The sequence below is a fragment of the Homo sapiens genome, chromosome 4, assembly GCF_000001405.40.
Source record: "Homo sapiens chromosome 4, GRCh38.p14 Primary Assembly".
In the NCBI taxonomy this organism is placed as follows: domain Eukaryota; kingdom Metazoa; phylum Chordata; class Mammalia; order Primates; family Hominidae; genus Homo; species Homo sapiens.
The window spans coordinates 56,389,435-56,404,676 of NC_000004.12; the positions used below are offsets into that span (position 1 = coordinate 56,389,435).

Consider the following 15,242-nt stretch of genomic DNA (forward strand, 5'->3'; position numbering starts at 1 on the left):
TTCTTTAATCCTTAAGGGTGTATGACTTTAAAAATCCTGTTACTGTCATTTTCAGGGAGTCTTAGGGAGCAAATGTAGAACACTATGTTTAAGACAGCATTTTTACCTGATAATCCAAGGTGATCATTCTAAAACATATACCAGATCAGTCATAGCATTCTTCTATGAGAATAAGAAGCTTCAATGATCCCTCGTTGCCTGCATAACATTCAGACTCTTCAGCAAGGTAAACAAGAGAGTTCATTTTCTTTCCAACCTGATATCTCACAGCAGGCCACTGCTCCCCCACCCATCTTCCACATTCCCCACACCTGATACTGTAAACTCTAGTCATAATGAAAGGCTAGTAAGAGTTCTGAGAATACAAAGTCCTTATCATGTTTCCACACCTGTTTTGGCTGGGCTCAGGCTGAAATACCCTTCTTTCTCCATGCCTGCTTGATGAAAATACAGCTTAAACATGACTTCCTCAGTGATGCCTTTCTTCAAGCCCTAAAGAATAATTTATCCAGACTCCTCCAAACTCCATCCCACGAACCCATCATACTCTTGGGAGGGGTCATTTGTCATGGGACCTGCAAATTCTGGGTTTGCCAAGAATGTAAGGTCCTAACTGCTCTTTACCTAGATCATTTTTCAGGGTTGTTTGGGATGATCAGTTTCATAGCTGAAGTATTCTTCCCAAAGAGTAGGCTTGCTTCCACTTAACTACAAAAGTATGGAATCCCCCAAACTCAGTATTCCTCTCCTATAATGTAACCCACTGACTGCATGTGCAGACATCCATGGAAGCCCATCTTCACCATCCTGGTGGGACTTGGGGGACATGGAAAATGCATAAACATGAAGTTCTGGCTTCTGCTTTTGCCATAAATTACAAAGTTCTTTGTCACCCAGGAATCCAAGTTTACTGCCATAAAACAGTTAACAGGCTATCTTACTAACTTTAAAATAGGTTTCAATACCAGACCCTTCCCAGACAGCGACATATATTTCTTACAGCATCAGTTGTTACTGTTGCTGCATTATTTCCAAATCTGACCTCCTATACTAAATAGCACCCTTATAGCAGGGATTCATGTCTTAGGCGCTTGTTTCCCAAACTATTTTTTTTTTTACTCAGCTCCATCCACTTACACTGTTCCAGTTGCAGGGAAATATCAAATGCCCACCCTGTACCCTGCTGATATTTTGTACCTTGACTGGCACACTCTACTTATTTTAAGGCTTATCTCTCAGTTGTCAATGTCATTGTTTCCTTAAAAAGTTCAAAAATAATTTGGAAAATCCTTGACCCTACCTGAAACAAGGTTAGGTCCTCCTGTTATGTGCTGTTGTACCACATATCACAGTTGGGATAATAAGGCATTGTGTGAGTTACTCTAAGTGTTCAGCTGCTCAGGAGAAGGCAGAGAGCAAATTAGTGGTTGAGTTTTTCAGGCTTGGTGTTTTGACAGGTGTATTAGTCTGTTCTCACATTGCTTTAAGTAAATATCTGAGACTGGGTAATTTATAAAGAAAAGAGGTTTAATTGACTCGGTTCCACATGGCTGGGGAGCCCTCAGGAAACTTAAAATCATGGTGGAAGGCACCTCTTCACAGGGCACGAGGAAAGAATATGTAACTATGGAAGTACACTGGAAGGCCAGGAGTGGTGGTGGCTCACACCTGTAATCCCAGCACTTTGGGAGGCCGAGGCAGGTGGATCACGAGGTCAAGAAATCAAGACCATCCTGGCCAATACAGTGAAACCGTCTCTTTGAAAAATATAAAAATTAATTTGGCATGGTGACACACGCCTGTAGTCCCAGCTACTCTGGAGGCTGAGGCAGGAGAATCACTTGAACCCAGGAGGTGGAGGTTGCAGTGAACCGAGATTGCGCCACTGCACTCCAGCCTGGTGACGAAGTGAGACTCCATCTCAAAAAATAAATAAATAAATAAAAATAAACCTCACTGTTTGTTTTAACAATAACAAGCGTGGTAAGGGTGGTGTCAGTCCATAAGTTAGATAGGCAGTTGCTAGGCAGATGTCGTTGCAGAAGTATGTGTGTGTGTGTGTGTGTTGTGTTTAAGGTTGTGGTGGCCTTTGTGCAGGTTGTAAATTTTTGTAGTCTTTTGATAGTTCTTGTTATCAACCATATGTACATGAGAACCCTTCCCCTTCATGGCGTTTCCTGGCTCCGTTTGCCAGGGTTTTAATACGAGTGACTCCATTTTGAATCTGACAACTTTCACATTTCCCCTTTTGATCAAGGTCTTTCTCAAAAGCATCACTGATCAATCATCCTGTATTTAGGTTTTGATATCTCTTGGTGCCAGTCTGCCCTCATGTTGAAGGGAGTCACTGGTAACTAGGAATTAGCATCAAAACCCTTTAGCCACATTTGAACAACAAAAGAGGTTTGGAGGGAGTGGATCTCAGGCTAAGTCTACCTGGAGTCCACTGTTAAGTTCAATTCTGTCTGTTCCATAGGCACTGTCTATCATCTCAAAGTGCTGGGAGAGCATTATTCTCTTAGGAGTTGCATTTCTATGCAAATTTGACAAGAAACAGGTATAAAGTTCTTAAAAAAAAAAAAAAGAAAATACAAAGTAACAATCTCAGCATAATAGTTTTCAGCCGTGAACCTAGGCTTAAAGACAACCAGTTGAATAAATCAAATGATCATGAAGAATTAGGTGAGACTTATTATACCATGTGGGCTATTTTCTTATTTTGTGTATATAAATTCCCCAAAGGAATGTATCCAGGTACAGCATGTAGTATGAGCAAAAGCACAGACATCTCTTTGTTTAGCTGGTACACAGCAATCCTATTACTTAGCATTCCATGACTGGCTTGAATTAAAGCAGAGAGAGCTAACTCTGTTTTAAAAAAGACCATTAGTACAATTTGAACAAAAAGTTTACTGAGGATGTTGCCAGTATTACCCCCTGGGTGGACTAAAGGATTTATGAAGTCAGATTCTGTCAAGTCACCCACAATATCTACCGATTGTGAAATTATCCTGCCAAATCAAAGAGGTAGGCATAAACAAGGAAGAATTAAGAGGGGCAAGAGTGTCATTAGGATGGGGAGTTATGTTCCATCATCTTGGGAAAAGCTGCCCACAGTATGGAGATGTTAGCTTTTCATTCTGGTTTACAGTTTTAATGTCTCTGGTTATAGCATTGGGCAGTTTTGTGAACCTTTGGGCATGAGATTTCTCCCTTAAAATTCAGTTAAGTTTGAGCTTGGGCTTTAAGAACATAGCAAGTCTCGTTTTTAGTAATTCTATGGAAGAAAGTTGGATTGGAGGAACCTAGAAGAATTAAAGATCCAGTCCAGCGACCAAGGTTTACCTAGTTGCACAGAAATTTTCTTAACACTGGCAGGTGCCCTACTAGTAATCTTTCTTGTCTGTGACCAGTTTATCCTTAACATGGGAGACTTTTTCTTTGGATACCTTCAATATTTTCAGAGTGGTATTTTCAGAGTGGTGCCTTTCACTTAGTTAATATGCATTTATGTTCCTTCTGTCATTTAATGGCTTGATTGCTCATTTCTTTTAAGCACTGAATAATATTCTATTGTCTGAATGTACTACAGTTTATCTATTCATTTACCTACCCACCCTGACACTTTGAATCTAATCCTGCTCTTCCATGACACTCCCTCTTTCCCCATAGTGCTTCCTAGGAACTTGCCACGATGTAGTGCTTACTTAGTACTGCTTTTCTAATTACTTAATTTGTCCCTCATAGTCAACCAGCAGTTTTGCCTGGTTCATAAGAGATGGCCTATTTATTGAAATGCCTGGATCAGAGAAATAAGATATGACTAGCTGGTGCCAAGAATGGAGCCTGGAAGTTGTCTCCATGCTGTTTACCATAAAGCACTAACTAAAGTCACTATTTAAAAAAAAAAAAAAAAGGACACACATATTTAAACATACTTATTACACATATTTATCAACAAGGCATCACAAATAAGTCACAAAAAGTAGGCTTAGTTTAGTTCACAATATAAATCCCGTGAAAACACATTTTTCATCTCTGCAGTTTATAATACTCTACGTATATGAATTTAAAGCAGTTAAACAACATTTGAGATTAAATTGGTAAAAAAAAATTGTAATTGAATTCAGACTTCAGAAAATTGTGAAGTAAAAGGCCATGATGGAGAAATATTAAGAATCTGTAGAATTACTAAACTGTCACAGTATTATTTTCCTTTACAAAAGCATCTCAGTAAAACAAAAACTACAGAAAACGCAAAGTAAAATCAGAGATTTTGGTTTAGTACTTTCCCTGAGTCTCTTGTTTTAAAAATCAAAGTAAGGCCAGTTCAAAATTGACCCACAGGTCTTGCCTCCTCCATGCTGCCATGGGGAGTACATTTAAGACAAGAGGCTACGCATGTTGAGGTGGTCCCAGGGCTTTATTCAAATGCCAATTTGCCCGTGTCACTGCCACAGGGTTATCTGACCCACTGCTGCATGTGGGCTTAAAGAGCTGTCAAAATTTTATCTTGGCCTGCTATAATATAATATGCGAGACTATATACCAAAGGAAGACAAACAGTTTCAGTTATTAATAAATATTAAATTTCTAAATGGATCTGGACACTATATACATCAAATTATGGTAACATAACAGAAACAAACACTTTTATGTTTAAAAATTCTTACATAAACAAAGGTTTGGGGTCAAGTCATCTTAAACTTCTAATCTCAGATGTTACAAGAAAAAACTTCAAAAAAGAAATCAAATTCATTAGATCTTAATATAGTAGAAAAAAGTGATTATAAGATGATACTTGGACTTGGATTGTAAGTTGATACTAATTCCCCAAAGTGGTTGTCTCTTTGATCCTTAAACAAAACTGGCCCCTATTGTGTCTGTACTTGATCACTTAATTGCAATAATATTTATGTGTATGTGTACATGTATATGTACATCTACATGTATATATGTTTGCAAGTGATCAAGCACTTCATTAAAAAAAGCATATGATAATTAATTAAATTAAGGATAAAGGGATTGTTTGAATCTAAAAATTTGGTTTTTATTTCAAATGTACCAGGTTACTTGCTGAGCTTATAGTATCAGGGCACTAAATACTATGGATCACATTTTCTAGTCAAATGTAGGAAAAACTTTTTCACAGATTTTTACAACCCTTTTTAGGACATCTCAAAGAGAGATGGCAAAGATCTGCCAATTATGTCTCCTTCCATCATAATGAAATCTTAATTAATTGTAAACTAATTTCAAAAAGTTAACAATCATTAGCTTTCTGAAAGCTAACAATCATGAGTTGTCTTAAAATCAGAAGTGAAATGATGGCTCAAATCACAAAAGTATGACACTTATTCACATTCTTATTAATTATTTAATAAGTATCCCATTGCACATGTGGGGAAACTGAGGCACCAGATTATTATTATTTTTTTTTAAAGATTTGTCTACAGTTAGACAGGGAAGCCAAGGTCATAACTACAGCCAGAACTGTAGAGGCTAGACACCTATGAGGTATAATGTATTCTATTCAAACTTTGTGTGAAATGGTATATTTAACTCACCTGTCTTGTTGGCATCACCTCTCCTTAACCCTAACTTCTTGCAAACCCTTTAAAGCATGGACTTGGGAAATGTCAGTGACCACCTGCCTTCTCTGACCAGGTTAAAAAGGCTAGCCAATGCTTGTGTAAAAAAAAGAACACCACATATTGTTGTATTATATGCAATTGGAAATGTTCAGTTATCGCACTTTGGTATCCTTTTCAGAAAAAAAAAAAATCTCAAAACTTATAAACATAAGCATGGCATTTTACATTGTACCAACTGAGTAACAGTAAATAGATGAGGTGTGACCACTATAACTTCTTGACCAACTTTCTATCTTGAAACTACACACATCCAACCCTACCAGCTACCATTCTAATTCTACAGGATATTTTCCAGTGAGACAAGCTGTACAATGACCACTCTTTTCAAAACATTCCAGACCATTTCCATTTTCTTGGATCATAATATCGTGCTTTTTCTCTTTCTGTTTTTTAAACTTTATCCCTTCTTGTACAGATGAAACCAGTCCTTCTACTGACAGATACACAACACTGTTTGCTCCTAAAGAAAGAGGGAAAAATAAAAATGTAATAAGAATTCCTTTAGAAAGGAAGAAACGCGTCAACAGAGAATAGTTACAAACAGAATAATTTAAGCTAGGATAAATTTCTCCTTTAGCCTTTCTTTAAAAAAAAAAAAAAGGAAAAAAAATCAATAAAACTCAGTTCCTTTATTTTTAAAAATTTTAATTGGAATCTAGGGGATAACATAATTTAAAACAGCAGAGGAGGCTTCAAGTCTAGAATGGAATTAGAGGGCTTTGGGAGTAATTTTCTTAATTGAAAAAATGGAATTTAAAGTCAGGAAGATCTAGGCTCAAAGTTAAGCTCAAGTTCACTCAGTTTTCCTAAGTCTATTTTTTCATCTATATAAGATGGTGGAAACATTGCCTAAATGTAGAGTTTTTATGATAATATAGATAATATAGGCAGCATAGTTTCTGGCAAAGTGTGAGTGCTTATAACATGTATGACACCCATCAGGGTGATATTTAAAAATATTTAACCAGTGAGGCATATGCATGACAGGTTAAAAGAAACACCAGCCACAAACAGATGGTGTGGAGGTACCAAGGCACAATGACTAAATATCATGTGTTATTTCCACAGTTTATACATCACCTGATTTTGAAAGGAAGATGTCTTACCCAGGATAACTTAGATCTCGAAGTCTCCTTATCTCATTATTGAATATGAACCTACACAAACTTTTTACCTTGTGATTTGTATCCACATCCAAATTACTCTGTTAGAATCTGATTAAATTATTTTTGTTTTTCTTGGGATCTGACTTTTGGGAGGCTTTAAGTGATTATGATTGCACTTCCCTCCACCTGGAAACCACCTCTTCCTTCTCTGATCTCACCTTGGCTTAGCTCTCCAACACAAGACTCTGTGGTGTCTGCCCATGCCCACTACTCTCACTGTTGAGAATAGTATTCAATATCTGTTTAACATATATAACTACTTTTAACAAACACTGAATACTCCTTTTTACTAAAGGTGTAAAGACTGTCAAGCTTTGGATTTTCTCTGTTAATAATCAAAGTTTATAGAAATTTTAATACTTACCTAGATATTCTGCAAGGTGATCAAATTCTGGTTTATTGGCAATGAGCTCTTCTTTTGTAGGAATGTTTATTCCCATGAAGCATGGATATTTAATTGGTGGTGAAGCTACTCGAATGTGTACCTTGGAAAGAAATCATTGCACACAAGGTTTTTAAGACTATGCAAAATTCTTTCATTGTGCAAATACAATACAAAATTGTTTTGCAGAATATTCAGTAACAACATATGGGTAATAAATTATTCTTTCTACAAAGCTGCTTCTTGGTTTTTTTTTTCTTTCACCTAATCATGAGGAAGTTTCTTTGTCTAGATATCCTACTTCTCATTTGATGTCTTTACATTCCTAGAGCCACTTTTCTCTTGTAATACCAGGTACTTCTGCTTATCCCTTATCTTACCATTTTAAAAAGAAAAATACAATTTACCAGGTTATAACAAAAACCTTACTACTACAACAGAGTTGTTTTTGTCTGTTATTGTTTTTTTTGCCTTTCATCAGGTACGTTTACATGGCTATACTCAGTGTCCACATTTCCTTTTTAAACTTTATTAGAATAGATTTTCCCATTTTTGCTACGCAGTCTTCTTAGTATTTAATGGCTGCATCATATTTCATCACACTGATATATCAATTTACTAAATTATATTCACCAACAGGGAGATATGCCATTTCCAGGTTCTTTGACTTTATTCTTTTTCACTATTGCAATAAATGATGAAATTATGTTAAACTCTTGTATCTATTACATAATTTCCACAGAATTCCAGAGTAAGATGATCATAATCCTAAACACAGGTATAAAAAAGGCTGGAAAATCATAATCCCAATTATCTTGGAAACTTTCTAAATAAACTGGCATGCTGCTTTTCATCCCACTTTCTTCTACAGTGAGATTTTATTTTTGATTTTTCAGAGATGGGGTATATGTTGCCCAGGCTGAGACTTTATTTTTAAATTTACATAACTATTAGTTGTAAATGGCATCTCACTTCTGTAGTATGAGCTACTGAAATAGAATAAGCTTTGAAATCTTAAAATAACTTAATATATCTATATAAAAACATGTACACAATAAATATATACATTTGTCAATTTAAAAAATAAAAATTAAAAAAAAATTTTTTTCAAGACATAAAGTGAGGCCGGGTATGGTGGCTCACACCTGTAATCAAGCACTTTGGGAGGCTGAGGCAGGCAGATGGCCTGAGCTCAGGAGTTTGAGATCAGCATGGGCAACATGGTGAAACCCTGCCTCTACTAAAAATACGAAAAATCAGCCGGGCATGGTGGTGTGTGCCTATGGTCCCAGCTATTTGGGAGGCTGAAGTGGGAGGATCTCTTGAGCCCAGGAGGTGGAGGTTGCAGTAAGCTGAGATCGAACCACTGCATTCCAACCAGGTGACACAGTGAGTCCCAGTATCAAGGAAAAAAGAAAAAAAGGCATAAAGTGATATTAAAATATAACTTGGCCGGGCACGATGGCTCACGTCTGTAATCCTAACACTTTGAGAGGCCGAGGCAGGTGGATCACCTGAGTCCAGGAGCTCAAGACCAACCTGGGCAACATGGTGAAACCCCGTCTCTGCTAAAAATACAAAAATTAGCCTGGCTGCAATGGCACATGCCTATAGTTGCAGCTATTCAGAAGGCTGAGGTGGGAGGATTGCTTGAGCCCCAGAAGCAGAGGTTGCAGTGAGTTGAGATGGTGCCATAGCACTCCAGCCTGGGCAACAGAGCCAGACACTGTCTTTAACAAATACATTTTAAAAAATAATAAGTCAAAGGTATTACACTGGGATTGGCTGCATGTCTTCAAGTAGAGAAAGCAATCAATACTCCATTGATTTTAAAAAGCATTCTATTGTGTGTTTTTGACTTTTTTTTTTTTGAGATCACTTCGGCTCACTGCAATCTCTACCTCCTGGGCTCAAGCCATCCTCCCACCTCAGCCTCCTAAGTAGCTGGAATTACAGGTGTGTGCCACCACGCCCCACCCATTTTTTGTAATTTTAGGAGAGGTGAGTTTCACTATGTCGTCCAGGCTGGTCTTGAACTCCTGGATGCAAGCAATCTGCCCACCTCAGCCTCCCAAAGTGCTGGAATTATAGGCATGAGTCACTGTGCCCAGCCTATTTTGTGTAGTTAGTCTTTGAATAAATTTTGTAAAAATTTTAGGTTTTTTAAAATTTAATTTTATTATTATCTTTTATTTTTGTAGAGACAGGGTCTCACTATATTGCCCAGGCTGTTCTCGAACTCCTGGGCTCAAGCAACCTCCTACCTCAGGCTCCCAAAGTACTGGGATTACAGGCATGAGCTACCTCGCCCAGCCTTAAGCTTTTATATTGAGCTTTTTTAATCTATTAAGGATTACATTTAATGTAAGTGTGGCTGTGACATGTTCTTCAAGTTGCTACACAGTTATTCCTAAACCAAACTGATAAAAAAAGTTAATTTATTATATTGAACATCCATTTTGATTCACTACCCTGAATTGCAATTTTATGCCAGTATCTTATTGTTAACTTATGCTTTAGGATATGTTTTAATATTACTTACCTCTTTTGCACCAGATTCTTTGAGCAGTTTTATTATAGGTGAGATGGTATTGCCTCTGACAATTGAATCATCTACAAGAACAATTCTTTTGCCTTTAAAGTTGTCTGACAATACTCCAAATTTTTTTGCAACACCAAGTTGTCTTAACCTCATGTTTGGCTGAATGAAGGTTCTCCCTACATACCGGTTTTTACACAGCACCTCCACATATGGAAGTCCACACTGATAGAGAAGAAATGAAAGGATAATGAGGAGTAATATACAGAATAGGCAAATATTTTCTCTAGGTTGTGTTGCCGCCACAATATTCAAGTAAAATTTCAAAATAATTTTCCTTTATTATTTGGAAAAAAGGCAAAAAGAAAAACCACTAAACAAAATATACTTGGTGGAAAAACCAATTCATTTTGTGAGGACTCATAATGTTTTTGTCTTAAACATTATTCCTCTGTTTTGAAAGATAACAGTAAGCATATGAAGACATGACAAAGATTAAATCACTGTCAGAAAAATTCATTATCAAAATGATAATTTTTAAAGAAATGAATTAAAATAAATAAATAAAAACCAGTAGACCAATGAGATACTTTTTAGGGATAGGAAGTAATTAACCCATTTATCAAGGTAATCTTTTCTAAAATGTATGCATATTAATTCTTTTAGAAGTTAATAAAGTATCCAAGGTAGTGAATATTGGATGTTATACCCCAGGATTACTACAGTTACACCATCTACCTGGTTATGAAAATAAAGCGTAACACTGACAACATCATGCTAAATGAACATAAACAGCTTTATTATTACCCATACTTAGTAGCAAGCAAATATTCCAGTGACTTGTGAAGATAATTCAAGACGTTTATTTTAATATTAAGTAAATTTTTCCACTGAATATATAGTTGATGAACACCATGGGTTTGAAGTACATGAGTCTACTTATAGGTGGGTTTTCTTCCATCTCTGCCACCCCTGGGACAGCAAGTCCAGCCCCTTTTCCTCTTCCCTCCTCAGCCTACTCAACGTGAAGACAACAATGAGGATGAAGACCTTTATGAAGATCCACTTTCACATAAGGAATAGTAAATATATTTTCTCCTCCTTATGATTTTCTTCAAAGCATTTACTTTTCTCTAGCTTACGTTATTGCAAGAATACAGCATATAATACATATACAAAATATGTTAATCAACTGTTTATGTTATTGGTCAGGCTTCCAGTCAACAGTAGGTTATCAGTATTTAAGTTTGGGGGCATTAAAATGCATACACAGATTTGACTGTGCAGAGGGTTGGCACCTTTAACTCCCAAATTGTTCAAGGGTCAACTGTATATTCATGATGTTATCTTTTTAAAAAGAAGGGTGCCAATTTCTGAACGCTTTAGTGAACGTTTTTTTCTTTTCAGTGAACCTTTTAGTGGTTTTCACTAAAATAGTGCCATTGGATAAAAAGCCTGGAAAATAAAAAACGCTTGTAAACAAACCAACATTAACCACCAAAGCTTCCTTTCTCCTTAGAAATGTTGATGAGTTTCTCTTTATAGGCAAGGGTTTCTTATTCCACAGCTGGGAGAGCAATTCACTGCATGTTAATTAAGAGAAAATACCTTTCCTGCGTAAGCAAGAGCAGCAGGCGTAGCAGATTCTGGAACAGTGCTAACCAAATCTGCATCCACAGGTGCTTCAATCGCTAGCTGCTGGCCACAACGGTATCTTACTGTATAAACCATTTGGTCTGGTGTGTTTGGAAAAGGAGAGAGAGTATTTTTACTTAGCATGATATAACAGTGTTATTCTAAAAAACTAGTGCTAGAATTCTACAGATTGAGTATAAAAAGAAATGCAATATATACAAAAATATGAATGTGAAAATACACAAACTGGGGAACTCAACTGTGTGGTTTTAAAAAAAAAATCGACCTTCATATAGATCTAGAAAATCATAATCCTTACTCCTAACAAAAAACAAAATCCAAGAGTCAAAAGGAAGTGAAAAATAGTGATCTTATGACTTGTGGGCTCAGTCCTATATCCACAACATATAACTATATGCCTTCAAAGAGCCAGGTAAGCCTTTGAGGCAAGAATTGCCATGTTTCAAGGAGATAGCTAAAACATTTATATGAATGTTCAAAGAAAAGAAATCTACTTACCTTCGAACATACTGTCTGGTCTTGCAAAATAAACATATTCAAAGATACAAAAAGCCACTGGGTTTCCTTCAGACCTTGATATAATATCAAGAGTTTGGACATTGTGTCTGGATATTTCCACAATTTCTCCAGGCAAGACTTCACGGTAATATCTTGGGAAACAATGTTAAAGAAAGAAGACTTTTAATAAACTAGTCCTTAAGGCTGATGAAAATATTAATTATAAAGCACACAGAGTACCTTCCCTTAGAGAAACAATTGATTCATTCAATATAAAATCTAGAAGTGACTTTTTAAAGTGGTATGTCTCCTGCAATGATTTCTTTATAATCTCTCTGTAAACACTAAGTTCTAGTATAGAATTAAAAAATTAAGGGCCCTAAGTTGTATTGAATTTTAAAAGAATAAAGTATAAAGAAAACATTTTCTCCTGGCTTACATTTTTCTGTCATAACTATCTCTCATTGAGGAAGTTCTTCCTTTCTAAAATAAGTCTCTATTTTCATATTGTACTGTAAAAAGAGAAAAATATACAAAATAAAGAAAATAAGTTTCATAGTATCTTGAAAGAATGCCAGCTTCAGAATTAGAAGCTATTACTAGAACATTAAACTCAGTGCAACTGCTGAGCATAACATGCATAAGAAAAACCATTTATAAATATTTTCTTGCAGACATCAAAAAGAAAACTTTCAAACTTTCACATAAATAAGAAACTGTCTAAAAAAAATTCTTTTCAACATGGGAAAATAAAATATGTCAAACAAGGTAAAACTTACCTTGCACCAATAGATAAGAAGCTACAAGATTCTGAAGACACCACCCATCCTTCTGTTTCTGATGTTTTTTTCTCTGTAAATCACAAATCAATTCAATTAATGGATTCCAGAAATTTTAAGAGGCTATTTCAATGGAACAGCTAACACTAAATAAATAAGTAAATAAAACTCATAGAATAGCCATTTCTATGACTTTAAGAGCACATGGATCCTCATTTGACTTGAGCCAAAGATAAAATAAATGATCTTCTAAGATTCCTTCTAACATTATGATTTCATGGCTAGAAAAAGATATCTTGATAAAAGTGAAAAGAAACCACTAAAATCATACTGCAGAAATGAAAAAGCTAGGCAAAGGACATGAATAGCCAATTAAGACAGGAAAAAATAGGAATCTCTATTAAAAACATTAAAAGGGATTCATCCAGCCAGGCGTGGTGGCTCACGCCTGTAATCCCAGCACTTTGGGAGGCTAAGGTGGGCAGATCACCTGAGGTCAGGAGTTTGAGACCAGCCTGACCAACATGGAGAAACCCTGTCTCTACTAAAAATACAAAATTAGCTGGGTATGGTGGTGTGCGCCTGTAATCCCAGCTACTCGGGAGGCTGAGGTAGGAGAATCACTTGAACCTGGGAGGTGGAGGTTGCAGTGAGCTGAGATCGCACCACTGCACTCCAGCAGCCTGGGCAACAAGAGTGAAACTCGGTCTCCAAAAAAAAAAAAAAAAAAAAAAAAAAAAGGGGGGGGACTCATCCTCAGGAGTACTCAAAGAAACGTACTTTAAAAAGGAAGAATACATTTATTTTTATTTTTCTTACCTAGCTCCCTCCCACCCATCAACTTTCTATACCTAAAGATTTCAGGGCTTGATAGCAGTAGGACAATAATGGAAAAACACTATGAAATGATATTCCTTCTAAAGTTTATTACCTTTGTCATTTATATCAGACACTGGAATAAGACGACCAATGCATAAGGGACGATTTCCATAAGGATCTCGTACTGCATAAATAACATCTCTGTGCATTATAAGCAGGGAGTATGCTGTGGGTGCTTCCTTCATCAAGTTTTTAATCCTGGAATTAATTAAATAATTGAATGAATAACTTCAGTTATAAACATATGCAAGGCAAAACTCTCCTTACTAGAGCTCTAAGTTTAGTCCAGTTCTCTGCTTACCTGGCTACCCAGTCTGGGGTGTCATCTTGTTCCTGAGGAGGGGTATACGCCAGTAACTGGGTAATCATTTCACTATCAGAACTTGTAGACAGACCAATACCATGACGCAGAAGCTATATAGAAAAAAAGAGAAGTTTAATCATCAGAGGGGAAGCTCCACCCCACCCCAAACCCAGTAGCCAACCATAATGAAAATAAGGCATTCTGTGGATGTCCAGTTACAAAAATCCTGCATCCCACTAATGCAGCAGTCCCCAACCTTTTTGGCACCAGGGACCAGTTTGGTGGAAGACAATTTTTCCATGGACCAGGGACAGGGGATGATTTGGGGATGATTCAAGCGAATTACATTTATTGTGCACTTTATTTCTATTATTACTATACTGTAATATATAATGAAATAATTATACAACTCACCATAATCTAGAATCAGTGGGAGCCCTGAGCTTGTTTTCCTGCAACTAGACAGTCCCATCTGGGGGTGATGGGAGACAGTAACAGATCATCAGGCATTATACATTAGCTTCTCATAAGGAGAGCACAACCTGGATCCCTTGCATGCACAGCTCACAACAGGGTTCATGCTCCTAGGAGAATCTAATGCTGCTGCTGATCTGGACAGGAGACAGAGCTCAGGTGGTAATAGTGAGCGATGGGGAGCACCTATAAATACAGATGAAGTTTCACTTACCACTCACCTCCTGCTGTGTGGCCTGGTTCCTAACAAGCCACAGACTGGTACTAGTCCCTAGCACAGGGGTTGGGGACTCCTGCGCTAATAGTATGTATATACTAATAACGGATGACCATGGCTGGAGGCAATAGGAAATCTAGAAGATTTTCAAGCAGGAAAAATGTGCTTTATGAGATGTACAGAAAAGCTTTTGAATACTAAATCTGAAGGCAAGCAGACCTGAAAGTGGGTAGGGGTTCCCAAAAATTTGATTTGTGGGTCTGACATTTTCTACCCTCAACACTCTTGATGAACTGGGTATATTCCTATAAAAGTAGTACACTACAGTGATAACTTTCAAGCTGGGTTTGTTAGTGATCATAATGGTGGCTACCCATCCTCATTGATTATTACTGATAGAAGAAAGTAATCAACTGTATTGAACAATGAAATGTAGCAGATGTAATAAATATCGCTTGAGTGTACTCTATGATAATTACAAAGTTCTGAGCAGGACTGACCAAGACAAGGGCAGCCCCATGGACATGCACAGATTGAGTCTGAATGGGCACTACAGAACATTTTCAGTAGGGAGCTAAAGGTAAAGATAAAGTTTAGCATCTAGGTAAGTCATTATGTCAGGAAACAGTGAGTTAGTGGTTATCTCTAAGTGGTGAATTTTTAAGAAATTTTTACTCCATATTTATACTTTCAT

The 15,242-nt window shown here is 36.7% G+C and overlaps 1 protein-coding gene across 2 annotated transcripts in view; it reads right to left on the reverse strand.

Annotated features, from left to right (window-relative positions):
* PPAT (phosphoribosyl pyrophosphate amidotransferase) overlaps nt 3,928-15,242 on the reverse strand; it is a 42,254-nt gene continuing 30,939 nt past the window's right edge. For both annotated transcript variants that reach the window (NR_156493.2, NM_002703.5), the window contains exons 4-11: nt 13,855-13,967; nt 13,606-13,751; nt 12,675-12,747; nt 11,896-12,047; nt 11,350-11,477; nt 9,745-9,966; nt 7,185-7,305; nt 3,928-6,114 (exon numbers count right to left, since the gene is read on the reverse strand). Coding sequence is in view for 1 of the 2 variants with exons in the window: in NM_002703.5 (NP_002694.3) it covers nt 5,918-6,114; nt 7,185-7,305; nt 9,745-9,966; nt 11,350-11,477; nt 11,896-12,047; nt 12,675-12,747; nt 13,606-13,751; nt 13,855-13,967 (1,152 nt within the window). In the remaining variant the exon portion in view is untranslated. The remainder of the gene's footprint in view (nt 6,115-7,184; nt 7,306-9,744; nt 9,967-11,349; nt 11,478-11,895; nt 12,048-12,674; nt 12,748-13,605; nt 13,752-13,854; nt 13,968-15,242) is intronic.